This window comes from Homo sapiens, chromosome 14 (assembly GCF_000001405.40).
Source record: "Homo sapiens chromosome 14, GRCh38.p14 Primary Assembly".
Lineage (NCBI taxonomy): Eukaryota > Metazoa > Chordata > Mammalia > Primates > Hominidae > Homo > Homo sapiens.
In genome coordinates this window covers 104,094,153-104,117,109 of record NC_000014.9, presented here as the reverse complement: position 1 = coordinate 104,117,109, position 22,957 = coordinate 104,094,153, and the positions used below count along the sequence as shown (strand labels likewise).

The window sequence follows — 22,957 nt, the reverse complement described above, 5'->3', positions numbered from 1 at the left end:
CGCGGCGGCGCCTTTTATGCGGCGCAGCCGCCCTTCCCGGCGCCGGAATGTGCCCGCGCCGCGCTGGCCCGACCGGTTTTTCCGGGCGGGGCGGCTCCCGGGCCCATAGGTCCCGCGACTGATCCTCCACGGCCCGGGGACCTGCTCCGCGCGCCCGCGCGGGGGTGGCCCTGACTCAGCGGCCGCCCCGCCCCATCCGGCGCCCCAGCCTCCAGCGCCTGGCCTGGGCGCACCTGGCCTCCCGGGTTCTGGGTCCCCGCCGGGCCACGCCCGAACCGTCTCGTCTGGGCCGGGGGTGCTCGGGCGCACGGAGGGCCCGGGGCTCCACCTTGGCCGGGTCGAGGCCCAGGGTGGCCGGAACAGGTGAGGACCAGCGCCCGACAGGAGCCCAGGGCCGCGCTAGCTCTCCGGTGGGTGTGGGGGCTGGGCTGGACACACCCACCCCAGCCCCTCTCACTTCAAAGGGAACTTCGTGGGAGGGGGAAGGGGAGGGGTAAAGAGAAAGTGAAACTGGAGGGAGGGAGGTTTCTGCTTCTCAGACCCTGAACCCCCACCCCGCAGCCCACAGGGGTAGCCCCGTACCTGCCTCCTCATTTCCCACGCGGGGGGAGGGACGCCCTACCCCCTCACGCAGCAAGGGCCTGAGCCTCGCTCCCCCCACTCACAGCCCAGCCCCGAACGTCCTGGCGCAGCTGGCCCTGCCGGTCCTACCCACTTAGTCACCTGGAGGTGTCCAGGCCTGACCAGTGGCGCCTCCCAGGGACTCTGCTTCAGCAGAACATGGCAGCTGAGGGGAGGGCTCAGGCTCTAGGAAATACCCTAGAGCCCCCTTCAGCACTTGCCCCAAGTCTGGAGCCATTAGTGTGTCTGTATGGGGTTGGGCAGCAGGGTGGTGACCATTCATTCCAGTGCAGGGCGGTGACACGCCATCCCACCACCCGCCCAGCCAGCCAGGAGCCAAGTGCTCAGGAGCCAAGGTGAGCCCCAGACCAGAACACAGCCACCAGATCTGAGGGACCCCCCAGACATTTCCACATGGGCCGCGTGTGGCTCAACCACCGCAGCCACCCTGGAAAGGGAATCAGAAAGGTTTTGTTATTTTCATTTTGCAGTTGGGGAAACTGAGGCTCAGGGAGGGACAGTGACTTCTGGGGATTGCACAGCTCTTGGTGGTAGAGAAGGGATGACAGGCCTTGCCATCGCTGCATCTGTGGGTCTCAGTGCCTGGGTGTGGAGTCCGAGGGGCTGCGGCATGGGGGTGGGGATGGAAGTGGGCATAGGGGAGCTTGAGATCAAGAACAGGAGCTTGGGAGCTCCTCCCCCAACACAACTGCATGGGCAAGAAGAACCCACCTCTCTTCTTTTCTTTTTTTTTTTCTTTTTTTTTGAGACCTAGTCTTGCTGTGTTGCCCAGGCTGGAGTGCAGTGGTGCGATCTTGGCTCGCTGCAACCTCCATCTTCCCAGTTCAAGCGATTCTCCCACCTCAGCCTCCCAAGTAGCTGGGACCACAGACACAAACCACCACACCTGGCTAATGTTTTTATTTATTTTTTAAGAGACAGAGTTTCGCCATGTTGGCTGTTCTCAAACTCCTAGGCTCAAGCTATCCACCCGCCTCGGCCTCCCAAAGTGCTGGGATTGCAGGTGTGAGCCACCAAGCCTGGCCACCACTCCTTAATTCTAAGTTCTGGTCTAGCCCAGTCCTGGGCAGACTCTTCCCGACGCACAGCCACTTGGATGGGCTCCCCTCGCCCAGGTGGCTCCCGTGTCCAGCATCCAAGGGAACTGACGAGAGAGGACGGGGAGAAGGTGACAAGTACAAGCACCTGCAGTTCCCACCAGCAGCAGGAAATATTGAGGTGTGACCAGAAGGGGAACTTCCTAGCATACACGAGAAATCTGGTTACCTCCAGCTGGGGAAGGGCGGTCCTGGAGGGCCCTCAGCTGAGGAGTCTGATTTTAGGATAGAAAATGCTGGTGAAAAAGACAGTAGTCGTGATGGAGAGGAGATGTTCCCCAGAGATAGCCCTGGGATCCAGGTGATTCGAGATGGGCTATAGGAACCAAGGCCTCCCCCAGCGTGAAATTACCAGGTGTGAGCGGCGCCACCCCACTGTGGGGAGGCGGGTCCCACGGGCACTGGGCACCTGGCTGTGCCTCATTCCTGAGTCTCCCACAGCCTCACACCACAGCAAGAGACAAGGCGGCCCTGATTCACAGCCCAGCTCTGCCCTGTGCCAACGCAGAGCCCTGGGCGCAGGACGGGGCCACTCTGTGCCTTAGCTTCCTCAGCCATGAAGTAGGATAGACGGGGACCCGGTGCCCTCCTACAGGCACAGTGGGGACGAAACACACCAACGCGGCGCAGGACACGAACGCTCCAAGCCTGTCTGTCCCGGCTGTTCCCACTGCACGCCAGAGAGCCAGAGGCCTTGGGGCCAGGTCACTGCCCAGCTCAGAGCCCAGGGAGCCCCGAGCAGTGGCCCTGCACCTCCTGCCACTTCTGGGTGATTCTAGAGGAGTCCCCTTACCCAGGGCCCCTCTGGCCTCTCCCCAAGGGGCACAAAACGGCCCCCGAGAAAGCTCCCAGACTCAAGCCTATGACTCTTCACAGCCTCCTGAGACACTGGCCCAGTCCCGGGGCTCCCTGTGGTAGGGCCCTACATCCCACGAGGGTTTGGAGGGGACTGACAATGGGGGTCTGGCTGCCCAGCCTTGTGAGGAGCTCTCCCCATCTGCCCAGCCCGTGGCCCCCAAGCCGTCTCTGCCGAACTCCATCAGTGACCCAGTTGGAGAAAGGCCAGCTTGACAAATGCTCTCTGCGGGACAAGCAGGATGAGTGGGCGTTTCTACACTACAGGACACTCACCCCCGGCATCAGTCGGTGTGTCTACACTGGCAGGTTGGCACCTGCTCTGGGAGGGTGCTGCCATGTGGGCTAACGTGAGCCACCTGCAGCTTTCACAACCCGGAGCAGCACTGAGTGGGGTGGCGTGAGCAACAGGCTCTGCCCAGCCCCTCAGGAGCTGAGGGAAGCAGGTGGGCACTGCCGTGTGCAGGAGCAACCGGGGAGACCAGGTGGGCTCAGCCCAGGGATGCCGGAGGTAGTCCCACCCCTTCTCACCTGCACCAGGCATTTGTCCAGATGCCCCACCGCCTCTCCCAAGGCCCTCCAAGGGTCTCGGCCATCCGGGGACAGCAGGGGCTCCTGGCTCTGGGGCCCGGTGCCACCCTCCCTCCACCTGCAGCCCCTCATGGGCCTCACCAGGGTGAGGAGCAAAGGCTTCCCCGGCCCTGCCACGCTCGCATGGCGTCACCTTGTTGTGCAAGGCCCAGGCACACCTGTGTCGGGGTGAGGACAGCAAGGATGCCAGCGGCAGTACCAGCCAGGCTTGGGAACCAGGCTGAGGAGCCTGGGGTATGCCCAGGTGCCAAGGGCCAGCTCTGGGGTCATGCTTTTGCCCTCCTGGGGCTCCAGTCCAGAGGCCAGCCAAACAGAGGGACAAAAGGAACCGTCACCTGGGCAGGTAGAGAGGCCTGGAGGGAGGCAGCCCCCATGCTCCTCACACCCAGCAAGAAGGGGTCAGGGGCTGGGGGCAGCAGCAGGGAGTCCCTGGCCATCCCAGGCCAGTGCATGCACACATGATGGGGGCCAGGGGTCCACACCCCCGATTTCAGCCCCAGCTGAAAGAAGGCACGAGGCTGCCCTTGGCCTTGGAGCACCACCCCCACCGGGCAGCAGCAGGGCCCGCCCCACCCGCCCACCTGCCCAGGCTGTGCAACCAGGCAGGCACAGCTCACCTCTTCCCTTACAGGGTGGCCTGGCTCACGGTGGAGGCTGCATCAGGAGCTTCAGGCAGAGCAGGGGCTGGAATGGTCCCCAGGGGCTCACCACCAGAGTGTGAAGCCCCCTTGACACTCACAGGCTTCCGCAGCCCTATGGAGCCCTGGTGTGGCCCTGGCCTGAGAGGGGGGCCGGGTGCAGCGATACTGGGGTGACAGAAAACCAGACAGCAACTGGGACGGGACTGTGAGGACTAAAGAGTTAAGCAGGGGCAGCATGCTCATCCAGGGGTTGGAGGGCTGCCTGGGGGAGGGGACTTCAAGCTCCAGAATGAAGGCGCAGGAGGTAAGGAGATGGGCAGAGGGTGTCTGGAGGAGGGACCAGCCTGGGCAAAGGCAGGGTGGCAGGAAGGGGGAGTGGCAGCTGGGAAAGGACCACTTGGCCAAGTCACGTCCATGCACCCCACCCTGCCCAGCTCACACGCACAGCTGCCCCCGGAAGGATGGGCCAAGTGACCCCCGCAGAGACCCCACAGAGCCTGGGCCTGACTCCCCACACACATCCACAGTCCCGGACCCAGACAGAGCCTCTCAGAGCCAGGCTGTACAGACCTGGTGAGGGGATGTCAGAGACTTTATTGCCGTCCTGCCCAACAAAGGCCTTCAGGCTTTACATGAGAGCAGGCTGGGAAGCAGCCCCAGCAGTGGGGTCATGCCTGAGACCCCTCCAGCAGGTCATGGGAGGAAGGAATGGCTTATACTGCAGCAGGACGCCTTCAGGTTAGACACCAGGCAGCACTTCCTGAAAACATGAGGGCTCCTGAGAAGGACACCCAGGTAGAGTGCGAAGGCAGGGCAGAGAGACAAGCCCAGGCACCCCGTCTGTACGGCACAGCCCAAGAGCCTGAGCAAACCCAGCTTGAGACTATGGGAGGGCCACACAACCAAGTGGGAATGGGGGTGTCAGCTGGGAACTGGCCTGGGAGACAAGCGGAAGCACCCAGCCTAGGGGGTCCCGGTGGGGCAGGGCGCAGGGGCAGGGGTGGGTAAGGGGATGCTGAGCCCTGGCTGGGCCCTCAGTGCTCAAGTCTGGTCAGTTCCTTCAGGAAGCCCTCCCTGACTGCTCCTTTCTCCTTCTCCTCACCTCTAAACTGTGTTCCACCCTGGACATCCCCAGGAGGGGCTCTGCAGACCCTAAACTGGCTGGGACCCATCTCAGCCTCCTCCGGTTCTGTTCCCCTTGATTACGCCCCCCCGAGCCAGGATCCAGCCCTGCACTAGAAGCTCACTGGGGGGTGTCAGCCCCGCCTGGGGTGGGGACTTACTGGGCATGGGGCCTGGGCACCAACCGCACCCTCCAGGCTCTGTAGAAAGGCCACCACTGCCAGGTTCCCGGCTGCCTCTGCCTATGGGGAAGCAGTGGGGAGGGGCTGCCTTGGGGCCACTGACTAGCAGCCTGGCCCAAGGATCCCCATCCCCAGGATGCCCTCCCCTGTCCCCAGCCCACACACACAGGGCCCCAGCAGCTCCTCCACTCTCGTCACCCCCACCACTCAGAGCCCCGGGAAGGGGACCCAGTCTGTGCGGGTCCTGCATGGGGAGGGCCAGGCATTTGGGGGAGGGGCAGAGCGGGGAGGGGCAGAGCAGTGAGCTGGTGAATTGTCCAGGTGTCCTTCCTGGAGGTGGCAGCCTTTGGAGAGGGTGCAGGGGGTGGGGGCACTCACGACGTGCAGGGCGCTGTGCCCGTCATAGCCCGGCTGCCCCAGGTCAGCCCCTGCCTGCCACCACACCTGCAGGCCTTCGAGGTCGGCCCTGTATGCCAGCCTGGGGGTGGGGGCAGAGGAGGAGTTGTTGGGGCCTGCTGGGCACCTGTCCATCTGCCCACGTGCCTGTCCCCCAGGTGGCCTGGACGCTCTTACAAAGCCAGCCCCAAACAGCTGACCCAGCAGCGACCTGGTCCTGGGGCAGGAGTCACTGGGGGCCATCGGGCAGCCTGGAGCCTGGTTTCACCCAGTGGGTGGGACTGCGACTCAAGTCGGGTACACATGCGCAAACATACATGAACACACATGCACACACAGCAGCATACACAGCAGCATACATGTACACACACAGGAGCACACAAGCACACACCTACACATGCACACACACACGAGCATATGTGCACACACACATGAGCACATGCGCCTTTGCACACACATATGCACGCCCACCTGCCGAGCAGCCCACGCCAGTTTCGTGTTACACAACACACCGCTCTTCCCGGGGCGGGGTCCGCAAAGGTGGAAGGAAAGTTTGAGGCAGCCCAGTGGTTCAGAGAGGGGGACACAGGAGGCAACCCAGGATAACGGTTGGCCCTGGACCCCGGCAGACTGCATGGGGGGGTCCTGGCTGGGACAGGGGTCTGGGCCCACCTGCCCTGGAGTGGGGAGCACCTGCCAGGCCCTCACCAGCTCCTCCTCACCCTGCCACCCTCCTGGGAAGAACTCACTCGCCACCTGGGGAGGCCAGGAGCAGGCCAGGTGGGGACCCGGCAGGGAAGGCTCCACCCACCCATGGTGTGCAGGGGCTGGGGGAAGTGGCCTGGTGAGGAAGGGGCTGCCCCCTCCTCTGGAGGGCCCTTAGGGACTCTGCGCCTACCCAGGAAACAGCAGCAGCCCTGCAGTGGCACTGGGTAATCTCTGCAGCGAATCTGCTGGATGGCCTCACTGGCCCCTCCTGGACCTGCTCCAAGAGGCCAAGCCCCACACACACACCGGCCCCTAGGAAGGCCTAGCCGAGGGGCTCAAGTCCAGCCAGCAGCTCAGGCTGGCCAGGCCACTTCCAAGCAGAGTCCTGGACCAGGGTTCTGGTCCCAGCTCCCACAGGACCTGACTACTGCCTCAGTTTCCCCATCTGTCAATGGAGCCAGCAAGGCCTGTCTGGAGTGCAAATCTTGACCAAGTCACCCCGGAAGTCCCTTCAAAAGCAAGACCAGGGGTTGTGGGCCGGTCCCAGAGGAGAAGCCAGAGCTGCTAGTCCTCCTCCTGCTGGGCAGGCGCCTGCACCCACCCCCTCCCAGCCAGTGAGCCGAGCCCCCGCCATCACCCACTCCCCAAGCCTGGGACTCTGGACTTACAGGCGCACAGACCCCACCACTCACAGCACCCCCACCCCAGCCACCACCTGCACCCGGCCCAGGTCTCCTGCCTCCGACTCTCCTTTTTGGGTCCCTCGGAGTCGTCCTGGCCTCGGGCAGCCCAGGCTGGGCACAGGAGGCAGCGCCAAGTCACCAGGCACAAGGCATGGGGTGGGGGGCAGCGATTCTGGCTGTGGCGGACAGAGGAGGATCCCTGCATCCCTGGCCCACCTCCACCCACAACCGACACCCTCGCCGAAGGCCTCCCTGCGCCTCAGTCTCCCCAACAACAACATGATGTCAGAAGGCCTGAGCCTGCCTCGGTGGTCACTCGGCAGCATGAGATCGGAAGGCACACTGGCCACTGGTGCCATGCGGCCAGCAGGTGGAGGCGGGGCCTAGGTCAGTTTATCCCAGGACAGGAACCACGCTGGGGAGAACAGAGCTCACGAGACCTGTCACCTGCCAGGGGCTTCAGCTCCTCTGTGCCCCACCTGCCCCAACCTCCCCAAATGCAGCCCCAGCCACCCCCCAGTCCACACCCCAGCCCCTCTCACACCCGACAACCAATTCCCATACCCCTCCTCAAGCCCACCACACACACACACATGCACCCACACACATGCATACACACATGCACACATGTGCACACAGAGACACCCTTGCTGGACTGTTCGCTCAGCTGAGAACAACTCCTTCCCCTGCCCCATGACATGGTCCAGGGTAGACACCTCTTCCCATCAGCCAGGTTGGTGCACACTGAGGTCAGCGGGCCTCGCCTCTGAAAGCCCCCACACCCTGACTCACTTGTCCCTCCCAGCAGGTCTGGCTTCGCTTCCCCAAGCTGTGTCCCCCACATCCCTGGAAGAGCAGGTGCTCTAGCTGCACTCACCTGCACAGCTCCGTCCCTGCTTCCTCCAGCTCCTGGGTGGACAGGGAGGCCCCGGCTTCCCGCAGCAACCCAATGACACCCGGATGCCTGTGTGAGAATGAGCATGCTGACCTTCTGCCCTGGCCAGCCCAGCCCCGCTGCACCTCACTCAGGAGCCAGCAGAGCTCATGTCCTGTGCACAGGGACGGGGACCGGCCGGCCCAAGACCCCACAGCCCTAGCCTCAGACAAGGGCCCATCCCCCCATCCTCTGCCTAGGCCCATGTGACATCATCCCGGGATCCCACCACCTCCATTTGTCCAGTACTCCTTCTTAGGGCAGCTGAGGTCTGCAAGGGGTGGGGTCAACTCTGTGGCAGCCCCGCACCCAGCACCCAGGGGAGGGCATTAGTTGGTGCTAGCAGAATAGCTCCTCCCAGGGCAGTCTCCCCAACCCATTCCAAGGGGACAGCCCATTTCAGAGGACAGCCTTACATGAGCTGACCGGCCCCACTGCACACCCAAACGCTGATCACACCCCGTGGTGACCTCCTCAGCCAGGCGCAGGGGACACTGAATCAATCCGGCCGACTGCCCTTGGGTAGGAGTGGGGGCAGGGCACCCGGACAGTGGAGTCTGTGGGGGTGGGGTCGGGGCTCTAGCAAGGAGGAGCAGAGGCACAAAGGCCCGAGGCCGGAGGCCACACAGCCCATTGTACAGGGTGACCTAAAGACTGTGCCATAATCGCTGGCCGTGCCCCCACCCCTGCAAAGCACCACAGATCCCCCCATCACCCCATTTAGGGAGCCTGGGAATAGGTATGAGGCAGTGGCCTCCCCATACCCCACTCAGGCACAGCAGGGCCAGGCAGGCGGCCTCAGGGAGCCTGGCAGCGGAGCGAGGCTGGGAGACCGGTTGGGGGCGTGCTGTGAGCCTGGTCCTGTGAGTCAGGAGGAGACGAGGGGGCGGGACTGTGTGAGCTCGTCTCCGCGCCACCCACCCACACCCAAGGACGCCCAGTCTAGAAGCTCCAGTCCGGATCACCCCAGCCCTGCTCGGGGGGACCCTCACAGCCCCGCCCCCTCCTGTCCACCACCCTGTTCTCTCCTATTCTTTTGAGCACCCTGTCAATGATCACAGGAGGCTGGAAAGAACCTTCTACCCCAGTCACCCACTTCACAAAAGGTGCCACACCCCACCCCAGGGCTCACCGCTTCACCGCTGGGGAGGGGAACCCACAACTGAACACGTCAGGGTCACATGACCCCAGGCTCAGACACCCCGGCCTTCTCTCCATGGGACTCCTGAGCACTCCCTCCCCGAAAAGAACCCAGGGTCCTGCAGGCCAAGTCCTCCCACCCACAGGGAGGAATCCCCAGGGGCCCTGGGATCTCTGAGCAGCCCATGGGTCCGGGCAGCGGCACCAGCAGACAGGTCGTTGGCCTTCCCAGGCTGGGGCAATAAAGAGTAGGAAGGGGAGACGGGACGCAGATCCCACCAGTGCTGGCCCCGCCCCCCACGCAGGGGCACAGGCACACACTCCGTCTCTGCTGCTGCTCTGGACTTTGGGAAGAGACACCAGCCAGGGCTTGCTTGGTGGGGCAGGGGACCCCCACACGCACAGGCTGGGCCTGTCCTCCAGGGCCCGAGTTGCCTGTCACAGCCCCAGATCTGCTGCCACGTAGCCTGCTTTTTATTGACCGCGTCTGGCTGCTGGGCCAGGACCTTCTGCCCCACCTCCACCCCAGCCCCCCATACCCACAGGTGCACAGAGATGCACCGTGTCCTCCCAGCTTTGTCCACAACATTTTTGTTTTCTAGGAACTCTGGGCCGGGGTCTTACTGGGCCCCGGGCTGCGGGGGCAGCCTTTAGGAAGCAGGTGTCCTCCACCTCTCCCAGCCCAGCCCCGGGAGGCTGTTTGAGTGCAGGAGCCCACAGCCTCTCTGCGCCCACCTGTCCAAGGCAGCTCTGTGCAGCCCTAGCTCCATTACCTGCCCCGCACGGCCAGCAGCAGCGGGCTGAAGCCATCCGTGTCCCGGGTGTTCACGTCCACACCTCTCTGCAGCAGCATGGTGACTGCCTCTGTGTGGCCTCCCCGGGCGGCCGCGTGCAGTGGGGTTTGGCCGTTAAAGTCCACCAGGCCCAGGTCACTGCCCTGGAGTAACACAAGGACATGCGACCCCTGAGGGAGACCCAGGCGGGGCCAGGTAGGCCATGGGGAGGGTGGGGTCCCTCTGAGGGTAGGGCCCAGCACAGCCCCTGCGCCCACCCTCAAAGCCTCAGTGAGACCTGACAAGCTGGCAGGACAGTCCTGCTGCCCAGTCTGGCTGACAAGGGCTTAGTGTGGTCAGTGGGTGGATGAAAGGCCGTCCTGCCTACAGGGTTCAGAGCCCCCAGGCCAGGCGTGGCTGGGGCTGGGCCCCCAGGGTGGGGGAGGCTCACCAGCTCCACAAGCGCCTGCAGCGCCTCCACGTCACCGGCGTGGGCAGCAGCACAGGCCAGGCTGGGCACCAGGGCATTCCGCAGGGCATCTGCCTCCTAGGTGGGGAAGGCGGCACCCTGGGACCCACGCCTCCCTTTGGCATCTGGTGGAACTGGCAGTCCCCGGTGCTGTATGACCCCTGCCAGCCCCCACACAAGGGCCCGCAGATCCCAGGGCGTGGGTGAGAAGGAACCTGAGCTGCCACATCGGAAGGCCTGGGGTTGAGCCTCACCACCCCACCCCATCCAGGCCCACCTAGGACCCCTTCCCCTGGAGCTAAGGCCAGGCCACGAGACCACCATCCAGCCCTGTCCCCAACGGGTGTGTGGCCAGTACCTGCTACCCACCCTCCCAGACTCCCCCGTCTGCTCCCACCGCCGTCGGGACGGAATGGTCACCCACATAAGGAGAGCGTGGGAAGCAGAGCCAGACCCCTCCCCTGGAAGGAAGGCCCTGTTCCCACGGCTGCACCTTCCCAGAAGAGCCACCTGCCCCCAGCACCGGGCACCAGGAGCTCCCCAAGACGCCAAAAGGCCGCGGTCCTGGCAGAGGCCCCACAGGGGCCACCACACCCAGCGGTCCTGGCAGAGGCCCCACAGGTGCCACCACACCCAGCGGGTACAACGTGGCCTGGTGACAAGGCTGCTGCCTCTGGCCTGCCTCCCTACAGCATTCAGGCCCTATGCAGCCACCCTAATAACAGGCCATGCACGCCAGTCCTTTCCATCTGCCCATCACCCGCCCCAGCAAGTGGCAGTTCCAGCACATGGCTCACAAGACAGGTCCATCCCTGTAGGGGGAAACCGAGGCACTGAGGCCGGGGCAGGACCCCACACAGTGGGGAGCAAGGCTGTCTGGCCTGCCAGGCCCCATGTCAGGCCTGGATGTTTGGCCCAGCAGCCAAGGGGGCATGTTGCGGGGTCCAGGGAGGCCCCATCCCCCTGCAGACCCCAGGCCTCGAAAGCCCCCCTTCCTAGGTCTGGGCACCTCAGTTGTGCAGGGGACGTGCTCAAAGGCTGGCCCTCACCTCCGGGTTCCTCACCTGGAACCCCTGGTGCTCAGAGCCTGGGAGAGCCCAGAGCAAGCACCGCCCCCACTCACCCGCCCTTCTTCTGGACAGGCAGCTCCCGAGGCAGCCCCGCACTAAGGCAGCGCCGCCAGTCAGAAGGCCTCCCTGCTGTGTGCCCACCGCCTGGCCCTTCCTGCCTCCTGCCTTATAGACCCTGCAAACCTTCCTTGCTGCAGACCCCAAACCCTCCTCCTGGGCCCCAGAACCCGGGTGTGCCTAACTGTTTGGGCTCGAGTGATGGCTACAGGGGCTCGTGCCTGCCTGGTGCATCCCAGGGTGACCAAGAGGGTGCACAGTCCCCAGCTGCCACTCAGGCCCGTGTCCCACGCCATTACCTGGCTGCCGCTCAGACTGAGGAGCCAGGAGACCCCACCGCCCAGCGTGTTGCCCTGCAGTGAGGGCCGGCGCTCTTCCACCGAGGGTGGCGTCATCTCCCCCCGAAGGTCCTTGGTCAGCAGCTGGTGGAGAGAACAGAGGTGAAGTGGCTCTGCCAGGGCTGGATGGGCAGCCCAGGACAGCCTGGAGGGTCGGGCTACCCGGGCACAGTCAGGGGTTGCCCTTGGCCTGAGCCTCGGCCGTGTGTGCTTCATCCCTCGGGCCAGAGCGGGCTGGGTCCCCTCCCAAGGCCAGCCCCACTCCCTGGCCCTACCAGCTCAGGGTCTCCAGGGGCCCCAAAAGCCTCCGTCCAGCCCCAGAGGCTGGCAACCCAAGGGTCTGGGGCCAGCTGTGTCTGAACCCCACCCTCGAGGAAGAGTGGAGAGCAGGAGAGGATTTCCTGGCGACAGTTAGGGGAGCCTCAGGTCTCCATGCAGTCTGAGAAGGCACAAGGACAGGCGGAGCCTGGGCTGGGAGTCCAGTGAGGGCTGTGGGGAGCCTGGGCCCAGAGCTGCCCTTCCCCACTATAGGGAGCCACATCCCTCCCCTTCCCAAACAGGACACACCCTGGACCGGCCCCCAGGCTCTTCCGGCATCGCCCCAGACATGCCCCTGGGAGCCAACTGACATGCTTGTGCACACCGAGGGTTGCCCACAGCCCGAGAGCGCCCGCACCTCCTTCCTGACATCCAGGCTCAGCCCTGGCTGGCCCAGCACATACGATAGCTTGGCCAGGGCGGCCTCCGATGTCATGTCGAAGCCTGAGATGACGCCGGCTCCCGCCATGGCCTGTGAGGAGGGGGCGTGTGGGCAGGAAGGGCGACTCACCACGGCCCCCAGCCCATGAGGGGTGGGTCAGAGCCCACCTCTGCCAGGCCCTCAGGCTGTCCCCTTCCCCGCTAGGCCCTGATCTCCCGGCACTACCATGCCAGCTGCATAGTCTGTGGTCACAGCCCCCTGGAGGCAGTGGGTACAGTTGACGATGACCAGGCCGCGCTCGGTGGCCACCCGCAGCTCCTGCAGCAGGTCGGGCTTGGTGGGTCCGTTCCCTGAACCGAAGGTCTCCATGACCACGCCCTTCAGGGGAGGCTGCAAGAAGGCCCGAACCTGTGGGGCGGTGGGGTGGGGGCTGGATGGTGAGGGTCTCTGCCCTCAGCACCACTGAGACTCGCCCCATGCCCTCCCAAGGAGAGGGACCCCAAGCCAGGGGCAGCTGGTGCCTGCTCTGCTCCCGGGACAGTGGGGCTCCTGGCAGACGTGCATGGCTGCTGGCACCTGGAGGGGGCTGCTCCCCCCACATTCTCCCAAAGGGTCGCCCTGTCTGTAGGGACGAAGGCTTTGTGTGGCAGAACGCCGTGGAAACACTTCAGAGAGGTGGGAGAGGAGCCAAGAAGGCCATCAGAGGCCCCAGAGCAAACACCCTTGTCCAGCACAGCAGGGGCGGCTCCCAGCCAGCTGGAATCTGCGGGAGGACGCTGCCTCTAGAAAAGCATGGAGGACCCCGTTCTGGCTGTGAGCCGCGCCCCAACCCTGCCCACTCCCCGAGAGGCTGGAAAGCACCACGACGGAGGACAGGGGACAGGGCCTGGGGCTGGTGGGGCCACACTGCAGACATCTCAGGTCCACGCGGGGTCTGCACTGGCTGGTGAGGGCCCCAGGGAGCCTGAGGGCCGTGGGAGCTGCAGAGGGCTGGGGCTCAGGGCTGCAGGGGCAGGATGGCCGGGGCGGTCCCTACCAGGGCGGCAGGGATCCCAGGGTAGAGGCGCAGCAGGCCCACGTCCTGCTCCATGCTGCTGTGCACCACCAGCCCAGCCTTCCCGTCCACCTTCCGCACCAGCTCCCTGTTGACTGAGGACAGGGAAGGGCCTGTGTGGTGCCTTCAGGCCTCCTGCCAGCCGAGACCCCAGCCCAGTGCCTGGCCCTCTGCACAGGCCGCCTCCTCCCTTGTTTTCAGAGCCCTGAGCCTTCGCGGCTCAGCCCCCTCGCCCTGCCTCCTCTCCCGCAGGCAAATCCTCCCGGGCTTCCGCGCAGTCCGGCCTGTGCCAGGCTCCGCAGCGTGCACGGGGCTGTGGGAGGAGGCACTCGTTGGCCAGCGAGAGACCGATGGCCGAGCAATGGGCAACACAGTCTCAAGGGTGAAGCCCAGGGAAACTCCGCTGGCCAGGCGAGGGGCAGGAGGGTCCTGCAGAGATGGAGGCCCGGCTGTGTCTTGCAGGCCGCATGGGGGCGTCAGGCGAGCGCAGAGGCGAGGAGGGCAGGCATGCCCAGCTGGGGAGCCACCAGCAGTCACTGCGCTGGGTTACAGGCATGGGGCAGCATCGTCGAACCAGCCAGCCTCCTCTGCCCCTTGCCAGGCACCCACTGTGCCCACTGCCCACCGGGTCAGTGGTTGAATGAGCGAACAAATGGACTTTCGGACCCCTCACCTCTGGGGAGAGAAGGCCTCCATCCAGTTCACCCCAAAATCCTAATGTGTGCCCATCACCCCCTCCCCACACCCAGGGTGGGTGATGGTGGAGGTGCAGGCCCCAGGTGAAGTGGGGAGGGATGGCTATTTGGGGTCAGTGCCCCTTGAACCCGTCCATGCAGAGGGGCTCCCCAGAGGACATGCTTGTCCTCGAGCTGAAGGCCGCCACTCTGGCAGCAATTGAGCCCCCAGGGTTCTGCCGACTTTCCCGCTCCATGTGGGTGGGGGTGGGAGGCTGATGCCACAGGCCCGGCCCCCAAACCCTCAGAGGCCAGCGCCAAGGCTGAGGTCCATTCCCTCTGCCCCTCTCCACACTCATGGCAGCCTCCAGCAGAGCAGGGCTGGACACTGGGGACTCCCACCACACTGTGAGGTGTCAGAGCTGCCCAGGGCAGTAAACACCCTGGAGGCTGGAGAGCCCAGCCCAGGAAAACCGAGGCCCAGGGGTGGGGAAGGGCCTGGGCGCCTGGAGAGCCCGGCACGGTGCTGGGACAGGAACCTGGGCAGGAGGACCCCCGCACAGGGCTCTTCCTCCTGCCCACAGGGAGATGTCACCCACATGTCTCCGGCCGCTTCCGCTAGAGCAGCTTGCATGCGATAAAAAGGACTTTCCTGGCATGGTGGAGCTGAAGGGGGGAGATGTGGGGTGCTGGGGATGAGAGAGGGGGGAGCGGAGCCCCCAGCAGTGAGTCTTCCACCCCCACCAGAGCCCACAGCATCAGTCAGCCCCACATGATGGCAGCGTGAGATGCCCTTTAACTGAGGGCGTGTGTCTCAGCCGGACAAGCAGATAAGGCATCAGCACAGGAAAGGAGGGGGCACCGCTGCCACTGGCAAAGAGTTATGGCTGAGAGGGGGCTACACAGAGACAAAGAGGGCCCACACCCACCCCGCACTGACCTCCCGCCTCCTGAGAGTCTGTGGATGCCACCCTTGGGATCCCAGTCCTTCCTGCCCAGGCCTGCTAGAGGCCAGGGGAATCGTGACCCCACACCCGGGGGCAGAGAGGAGCGCTGGTGGCTCCATGGCCAGGTGAGGCCTGCAGGCTCAGCCCCTTACCCCCAAGAGGGGCTATGGCCCTGTTCTACAGATACGGGAGCTCAGCACAGGAGCCGAAGGGTGTAGTCTGCGGCCTCAAAGCTGGATGCGGCACAGCTGGGGTGGCTGGGTCACGTCTGGGAGGGAGGTGGCTTCTCCCAGTGCACAGAGGAGGGCTCTGGGGCTCTGCTTTGGGGTGACCCAGCGTAAGGACCCATGGCTGGTGAGTGACAGGCCTGGCCTGACCCCACAGCCATATCCCCTTCTCCACCCTCCTCTGCTCCAAGGGCCCCAGCAGAGTGGGCCGGGGTCAGGGCTCAGCACAGAAGGGTAAGGGTGCAGGATTTGCCTGGGGGTGACAGTGTGGTCTCCTGAGACACATGGAAAGGACAGGGCCAGCAGGGCCTCCTCCAGCCTCCCACGCATCCCCCCACCCCTTGGCGCCGAGCCGACTGTGGACAGGAGCACCAAGCCCGCCCATGACTCCCGGACCAGCCCAGCCCCTCACTTCCCAGACAGTGGGTAAAAAGCCCAGGACAAGCCCTCGACAGGGTGCTGGCAGCTGGCACCCGGGCCCAGGCCGGCATTGCTACCCCCAGCTGGCTCAGAGAGGCTGAGGGTGCACACTGCCAACCTGTGCCCCTCCCCAGGGGCCCCAGCAGCCACGCCCTGGGCAAGGCCTGAGGTTTCTCAACACTGGGTGCCAGAACCGGCCCGGCAGCCCGGCATCAGTTTCCCACACCCACACGCACGTGGGAAACACTCAGGGGTGGGGGGCTGGGGCCAGGGCAGCCTCCCACCCAGACCAGCCTTAGTGCTGCGCCCAGGAGCTGCCCCACGGCCCTGGGCCTGAGGCCGGTGTGTCTTGAGCCTCGTGGCCTGCCCGGGCTTAGCACCCGGTGCTGGCGGAGTCCCTGGAATCCAGAGCACGGTCCTCTGTGCACTGTTGGGGCGGGGTCCACCCACCAGCAGAAGCTCCACTCCTGAGCCCCAGATAAGGTGTGAATCAGGCCCCATGGGGGAGCCGGGCCTGCAGGGCACCACCCACACCTCTTGCTGCTCCTTCTCCCTGGGCTGGAGGGGCCGAGTGCCAGCATCCAGCATGGGCAAGCAAGCCAGTACCCTACCAGCACCAGCTCACAAGCCACCTCCTCCAAGAAGCCTTGAGGGCTGCCCTGGCCCTCGGTGAGCAAGTGGGCCCCTGCCCAAGCCCCTGAGACCCGGTGTGCTGCACACACAGTAGACACACTGATGTGTTCTGGGCCTCACACTCCCTAGAAGGTGCTCCAGGGAGCAGCAGGAAGAAGGGACAGGGTGTGAGCCCAGGACAGGAGGGAACAGCAGGAAGAAGGGACGGGGTGTGAGCCCAGGACAGGAGACAGCGCACAGGCTTGAGTCGGTGCCTCCCTGTGGGAGCCTGCCTCTCTCTGCCTCCGTTTCTCACCTGTAGAACCAGGCAGTTTCCTCTGTCCTGTCCTGCTGAGGGGCCCTGGGGCAACAAGCAAGTCAGCCACCGAGCCCGGACTCCCACACACAGGCCTTGTCTTGAGATCCAAAGACGCTGCCTCCACCCGCTTCTGCTGACGGCCCCACAGCCAGACATGCCCAGAGCCCCTCCTGTCCCCCGACTTCTGGTAGATGCTCCAGGAAGGCCCCTGCCCTGCCAGACCCTTCCCAGGGCCCCCTCATGCCAGGCCCTGAAGCTCCCCAGGGTCCTTGCCTGTGTCTGGGGATTCTTCCAGGAAGCTGTGCCCCAGCAGCCCATAGCCCAACCCTTTCTCCAGGAGGGTCTGCTCCTCCTTAAAATGGGGGAGTGGGGAGCCTCTGCCGCACCGGGAGATTCCCTAGGAAGGGCCTCCCCAGGCGTCCAGTGACCTTGTGGGCTTGACCCACCAGCCCGCCATGGCCCAGGCCTGGACAGAAGCCCAGTGTGGGTGAGGGGGCGCCTCCACCCCACCCGCCCAGACAGGAACAGCTGCTTTGGTCCTGGGCAGGCAGCCCCACCCAGCCCCGGGTGAGGTGTCAAATGCCCCCAAAGGAAGGCCAGTGCTGCCAAGCCCTGGAGCCTCCCCGGGGCTGGACCCCACCTCAGTCAGTCAGGATGAGACACAGGGCAGGTTTGGGGCTGCCTTGAAACAGCAGGGGGCCAGGGCAGGCAGGATGCATCTCCCAGGAGGGAGGGGATGCTCCCGCTGCCTCAGGGAGGGGTGCTGGCGTGGGGTCAGGACTGGCCATGCTGGCCGTGGACCTGGAACAGGCAGGGGCCGGGTAGAGTCCAGGAAGCAGGGGCTCCCTCAGCAGGAGCACACCCCAGACGGAGCGACGGTAGGCCAGGGAGTGACTTCCGGGCAGGCCACTGGAGTGGCCCTGCGTCTCAGGTGAGGCCTGGCAGGGCACCAGTCTCTGAGAACAAGCTCCAAGGCTGCTCCTACAGCCAGGGCCAGGGGGCGGGCTTGGCCCCCCCAGGGGGAAGCCTCAGGACACAGGATCGCTCGAGTCAGCCCCACAAGGATGGCTGGGCTGCCCGCCGGAACCAGAGGACAGAAAGACTCCCTGAAACTCCTGGGGACGAGGCTACGGCACACAGAGGTGTGGCAGAGCCAGGTGGTCACTGGGGACCTCCTAGGCCTGGGGCGAGTGGTTGGGCAGGACACATGAGGGCCAGATGCCCCAAACCTCTCTTCCAGGCCTCCCGCCTCTGAGCCTGCAGGGACCTGAGGAGGCCCCCACCTCTGTGGCCACGCAGCAGCCCTGTCCACGCAGCCCTGGCTTCTCCACAGCCCAGGGCAGAACCAAGCCAGGGCAAGTCAGAACCAAGCATGGTGCTCTCAAACTCTGCCGAGTCCCAGCCACGAGCTCCCTGCAGCAGCCCCTCGCCCAGCACCAGCACTGGGCAGGCACCTGGCCCTGCTCCTGCGGGGCTTACTTGTGATGTCAGCACCCACTGTGGCCAGAGGCAGCAGGTTCGGGGAGCAGAAAGCTGCGAACCTCCGAGCGTCTACCTTGGTTGCCCGGTTGCCCCGAAACAGCTGATTCTGGAAGAAAAGGCAGACCTGCGGGAACGGAGCGACAGAGTTCAGAGCAGCGGCCACCCTGTCCCCGACCCATCTGCCCTCCAGCTTCCTCCCTGCCATCAATGAGGTGCCCAGACCCAGGGGGAGGTGGGACTGTAACCCCACCCACCGCAGGCAGAGACCTTCCTGGGAGCAGGTACTGCCCCTCTCGGGCCCTTTCCTGCCCTGCCACCTACCCGTGGGCTAACCGGAGCCTGCAGGGGCCTGGGGACCCCAGGGCCTGGGGCGTGCAAGTGGCTGGGTGGCAGGAGGGTACCGTACTTCCTTCCCTTCCCACCTGCCCACTGCCCCCAACCCTGCTTCTTACAGAGCCCTGGGAACTCATCCCAAAGGTGCAGCGAGCACAGCTGCTGGAGGCCCCTGCCCACGGTGAATGGGAGTCCCTGAGGCCCCTGCTCAGGAGCCCGTGTGGGGGCTCTAGTCAAGCTGCTCAAGAGCCTTGGGTAAAGCCACTGCCCCAGGGTGGGGGAGATCTTTGCACACTCCTTCCTGGGACGCCACAGGAAACAGGGAAAGACATGGGGGAGGGAAAGTGACACCCTTCAGAGCCCTGCTGGCTGCAACCTGTTTTTATAGAAACTTCCATACCTATCTCTAATGTAAAACCTCCATACGTATCTCTAACGTAAAACCTCCATACGCATCTCTAACGCAGAACCTCCATACGTATCTCTAACGCAGAACCTCCATACGTATCTCTAACGGAGAACCTCCATACGCATCTCTAACGCAGAACCTCCATACGCATCTCTAACGCAAAACCTCCATACGCATCTCTAACGCAAAACCTCCATACGCATCTCTAACGCAGAACCTCCATACGCATCTCTAACGCAGAACCTCCATACGCATCTCTAACGCAGAACCTCCATACGCATCTCTAACACAGAACCTCCATACGCATCTCTAACGCAGAACCTCCATACGCATCTCTAACGCAGAACCTCCATACGTATCTCTAACGTAGAACCTCCATATGCATCTCTAACGCAGAACCTCCATACGTATCTCTAACGTAGAACTTCCATACGTACCTCTAATGTAAATATCCACAACATAAGATCTAGAAGACAGTGCACCCAGCTATTGGCAGTGGCGTCTGGGGAGGGGCTGGGGGGACTTTGTTTCCTGGCTGCTGTCTGGGCTCCTGCCCCCACCCCACCTGCCCCGCCTCCACGTGCACCAGGCAGGTACCTCTGGGATCACATACTGGCCAGCCATGAGCAGTGCCCCCAGCAGGTTCTCACGGCCGTCGCTCCACAGGGCATGGATGGGCACCTGGGGGAGAGGCCACGGAGTAGCTGAGGCCTGGGAAGCCCAGAAGCCTGGGATGTCTGGCTCATCTCTCCAGGTAAACCCCCAGGCCCAGCCCAGGAGCCCCAGGCGGGTGTGGGAAAGAGAAGGACAGGCGGGCTTGGACTGCAGCAGGCAGCCTGGAGATGGGTGCCTTGGGGGAACGGGGCACTCAGAGGAGCTGGGCAGTAAGCCTGTCTCCAAGGCCGCCAACAACAGCTGTCCCTGCAGACGATGCCAGCCTGCACCCAGGGCCTCAACCCACCCACCAACAGCTGTGGCTGCAGACCATGCCAGCCTGCACCCAGGGCCTCAACCCACCCACCAGCTCCCTCTACAGGTCCAAGAGCCCAGTGCTGGCAGCAGGGGCCAGCCGGTCCCCATACTGGAGAACGCATCACAGGCCTCCCACCGCAGCTGCCCTGCCCAGCTCCCTCGCTACCCCAGCAGAACTATGGGCTGGAAGGAGGGTGGTGGGGGTGAGGGGTGGGTGGGCTGTGACAGAAAGGAACTGCCTCGGGATGCCAGGCACAGTACAGCTCCTCCCACAGCTGCCTGTGTCTAGCATGGGCGACTGTGCTATGGTTGACTGAACAGCGCGTCCCAGGAGGGCGCAGGTGGCGGTGCAGAGGCCAGGGTTTTCAGGAGGAGGCGGCCGGGAAGTGGTCAGTCAGAGGCTCTGGAGGGAGAGAGCCCTGGCAGGGGGTGGCAGTCCTGGGTCCTGGGTGCTCCCTGGCTCAGCCCTCACGTGGTACGTGGCTGTGGGTGAGCCCCTAGCCTGTAAGCCTCAGTTTCCCCACAGGTATAACAGGGATAAGGATGTCCCGGCACAGGCCAACATCAGAGTGAGGACAACATGCATGTGAACGTTCGTGGGTCCTGCGGTGCTCATAACTGTGCCCTTGATCCCCTAGAGAGGTCCACGGGATGTTCTGCTCCCCCAGGGCTCGGGAAGGTCTGGGAAGAGGAGAACCAGCTGGAGCCCTGTCCCTCCTTCTCGAGTTCTGGGGCGGGAGGCACTGCTCCACCGCTAACAGGTGTGTGCAGTGGGCCCTGGGGAGACTCTGGAGGGACAAGGGAGACGGCGCCAGGCAAGCAGAGTGGGGTGGCTGAGCCACCTCCCCGGACTGCTCCCCGCAGACCTCCTAAGAGGGCCTCCATGGAGCTTTCTGGAACTGCCACCAAGCTCAAAGGGACACAGGTACCGGTTTCCCATACAAGACCTTAGCCTCAGCCGTGGGAAAGGATCCCAAGGGGTTCAGGTGCCCACTGCCACCCGCAGGCAACATGGACCCCTAGTCAGCTTCTAGCCAACCTCCCCTGCCACATCCCCTCAAATCCAGTTTTCCAGAACACTCTACTGGCCTTGGCTTATGGGATTTGTGCTGGGTTAGGGTGAGAGAGGCAGGGAAATCGTGTGCCAGGGCCCCCAGGATGGCATCGCCTAGACCCACAGTGGGCGGAGCAAAGAGAGGGACAAAGGCAGGGACATGGCCGGGGCCTCCTGGTGCGGCTCTGTGCGCGGCCACCCTGATGCGCCAGATGGAGAGGTGGGCAGCAGCCGCAAGGAAGCATCGGGAGGAGAGGAAGGGATGCCTGGCACCCCCAGGGCCGAGGTGGGCCTGGCTCTGGGTGCTCCAGGGCCTCACAGCTCCCAGGGCCACCAGCAGGAGATGACCCCCCTCCTGCGGGGCAGGTGGTGCTGGCACCCGGGCAGGACCTGAGCATTTGCGAGCCCCAGCACGGGCCCTGCAGCAGCCACCTCAGGAGCTGCTGGGCTGAGCAGGAAGCCCGGGGTCCCGCAGCGGCCGCCCACAGCGCTGACTTGCCCTGTGGCCTCAGGAAGCCCCTGTTCCTAGGAGCCCCGGGCCCCTGGGATTACCTGGGCCCCAGTGAGGATGACAGTCTTCTGCAGGTTCTCCAGCATGAAGGACAGCATCGAGGCAGCAAAGGCCATGGTGTCGGTGCCGTGGATGACCACAAAGCCGTGGTACTGCTCGTAGTGCCTCTGCAGGAGGGGCGCATGCTCAGGCAGGCCAGCCCCTCGCAAGCAGGTGTGGGGGAGGTTGCAGCATGGGGGAAAGGGTCCGGATGCAGAGAGGAGGACTCAGGGGAGGCACCCGTGGGACCCTGGCCTGGAAGTCCCTCTCTGGAAGATTAGCCCCTGGCGTGGAGTCCTGGGACTCCCACGCTCTCCCTGCCCCGAGGCTTCCATGCCACTCGGGTGCACCCACCACGCTGAGGCTCCCCTCAGAGCACTCGAGAATGAGTCCCTCCAAGGGGCCTCTGCACACTCCCCAAGGGCGGGAGAGCGCCTCTCCATGGCAGCAGGGGGCTGTGGTGGTGCACGAGCCTCGAAGCCCAGACCGCGGGTCAGGCAAGAACACAACGGTGGGCACAAGGACGCCTGCAGGGTCAAGGCACAGCCATGGCCGGGAACCAGCAGGTGATCCTGGAGGTTGCCTGGATCTGGACCTGGGCGGCCGGGCAGGACACCGAAGGGCAGCAGTGAAGCTGGCCATGCAGGGACGTCCTCCGGCCACCACCCCCTGGAGGGTGGCTGGCCCAGGCTGCGGCTGCCAGGGCACCGTTCCGAGAGCCCAGGGCTCCATACGAAGCCTGGGCCTGCCCGGGGGGCCATTAAAAGACCAAGCCCCGTAGGCCTGGGAACTGCAGAGGAGCGGAGGCCAAGGAGGGGAAGGGCGCCCTCTGCTGGCCACTCGCGGCAAGACGGCAGGCTGGGCCACCTGAGCCGAGAAGGCCTTTGTGAGGCTGCCCAGGGCTGCTCCCTGCAGCAAGGACCGCAGGGCAGCTTCGTGGGCCTCAAAAAGCAGTCACGCCTTGCCCGGTGAGGGCTGCCGGCTACAAATGGAGGGTCCTGTCCTGGGTGGTGCTGCCTGCCACCCTGCTGCTGGGAAGGGGAAGCCTAGATGTTCCCACTCAGGGGAGCAGGGGGTTCGTAAGGGAAGCAGGTGAGAATTGGGACTGGAGCGGGCAGGAGGCCCCCTACTAGGGGAGGCAGCTCCGGTAACATGGGAGCGTGTTGTGATGGGGGAGAAGGGAGAAGAAAAGCTGATGGGGCGGGGGGTGGTTCTGCCTGCAGGGGGAGCACACAGGTCGCTGTAAACCACAAGAGTCTTTGAGAGGTGCTGTGGTCCACTAAGACTCCAACCAAGACTCCACTAAATCCACTAAGACTCCAACTGGGCGGGGACGGACAGAGGGCAGTGAGCAGGTCACCAGCCACGCACAAGGAGCTTGCTGGCCCTCGAGGTAGCATCACACACCACACACCGCGCCCCAGATACTAACTGGGACAGGCTAAGACAACTGTTCCCGTTGTGTCCTCATCTGGGAAGTCGACTTGGCCCTATACGCCCACCCCC

At 64.5% G+C, this 22,957-nt stretch overlaps 1 protein-coding gene across 17 annotated transcripts in view; it reads right to left on the bottom strand.

Moving 5' to 3' along the window:
* Positions 1-1,527: 1,527 nt before the first annotated feature.
* ASPG (asparaginase) overlaps positions 1,528-22,957 on the bottom strand; it is a 29,883-nt gene continuing 8,453 nt past the window's right edge. For 3 of the 17 annotated variants that reach the window (XM_017021268.2, XM_017021274.2, XM_017021265.1), the window contains 13 exons: positions 21,454-21,579; positions 19,473-19,556; positions 18,131-18,257; positions 13,435-13,547; positions 12,624-12,806; positions 12,375-12,488; positions 11,660-11,782; positions 10,216-10,311; positions 9,765-9,928; positions 8,616-8,712; positions 8,268-8,408; positions 7,795-7,881; positions 5,919-7,093 (listed from right to left, as the gene is read on the bottom strand). In XM_017021268.2, coding sequence (XP_016876757.1) covers positions 6,923-7,093; positions 7,795-7,881; positions 8,268-8,408; positions 8,616-8,712; positions 9,765-9,928; positions 10,216-10,311; positions 11,660-11,782; positions 12,375-12,488; positions 12,624-12,806; positions 13,435-13,547; positions 18,131-18,257; positions 19,473-19,556; positions 21,454-21,579 — 1,626 coding nt within the window. In that variant the 3' untranslated portion in view covers positions 5,919-6,922. Of the gene's footprint in view, positions 4,605-5,109; positions 5,191-5,508; positions 5,609-5,918; positions 7,094-7,794; positions 7,882-8,267; positions 8,409-8,615; positions 8,713-9,764; positions 9,929-10,215; positions 10,312-11,659; positions 11,783-12,374; positions 12,489-12,623; positions 12,807-13,434; positions 13,548-18,130; positions 18,258-19,472; positions 19,557-21,453; positions 21,580-22,957 lie in introns of those variants that run through there. The other 14 variants (XM_005267590.5, XM_017021272.2, XM_017021267.2 and 11 more) reach the window with 13 other exon arrangements.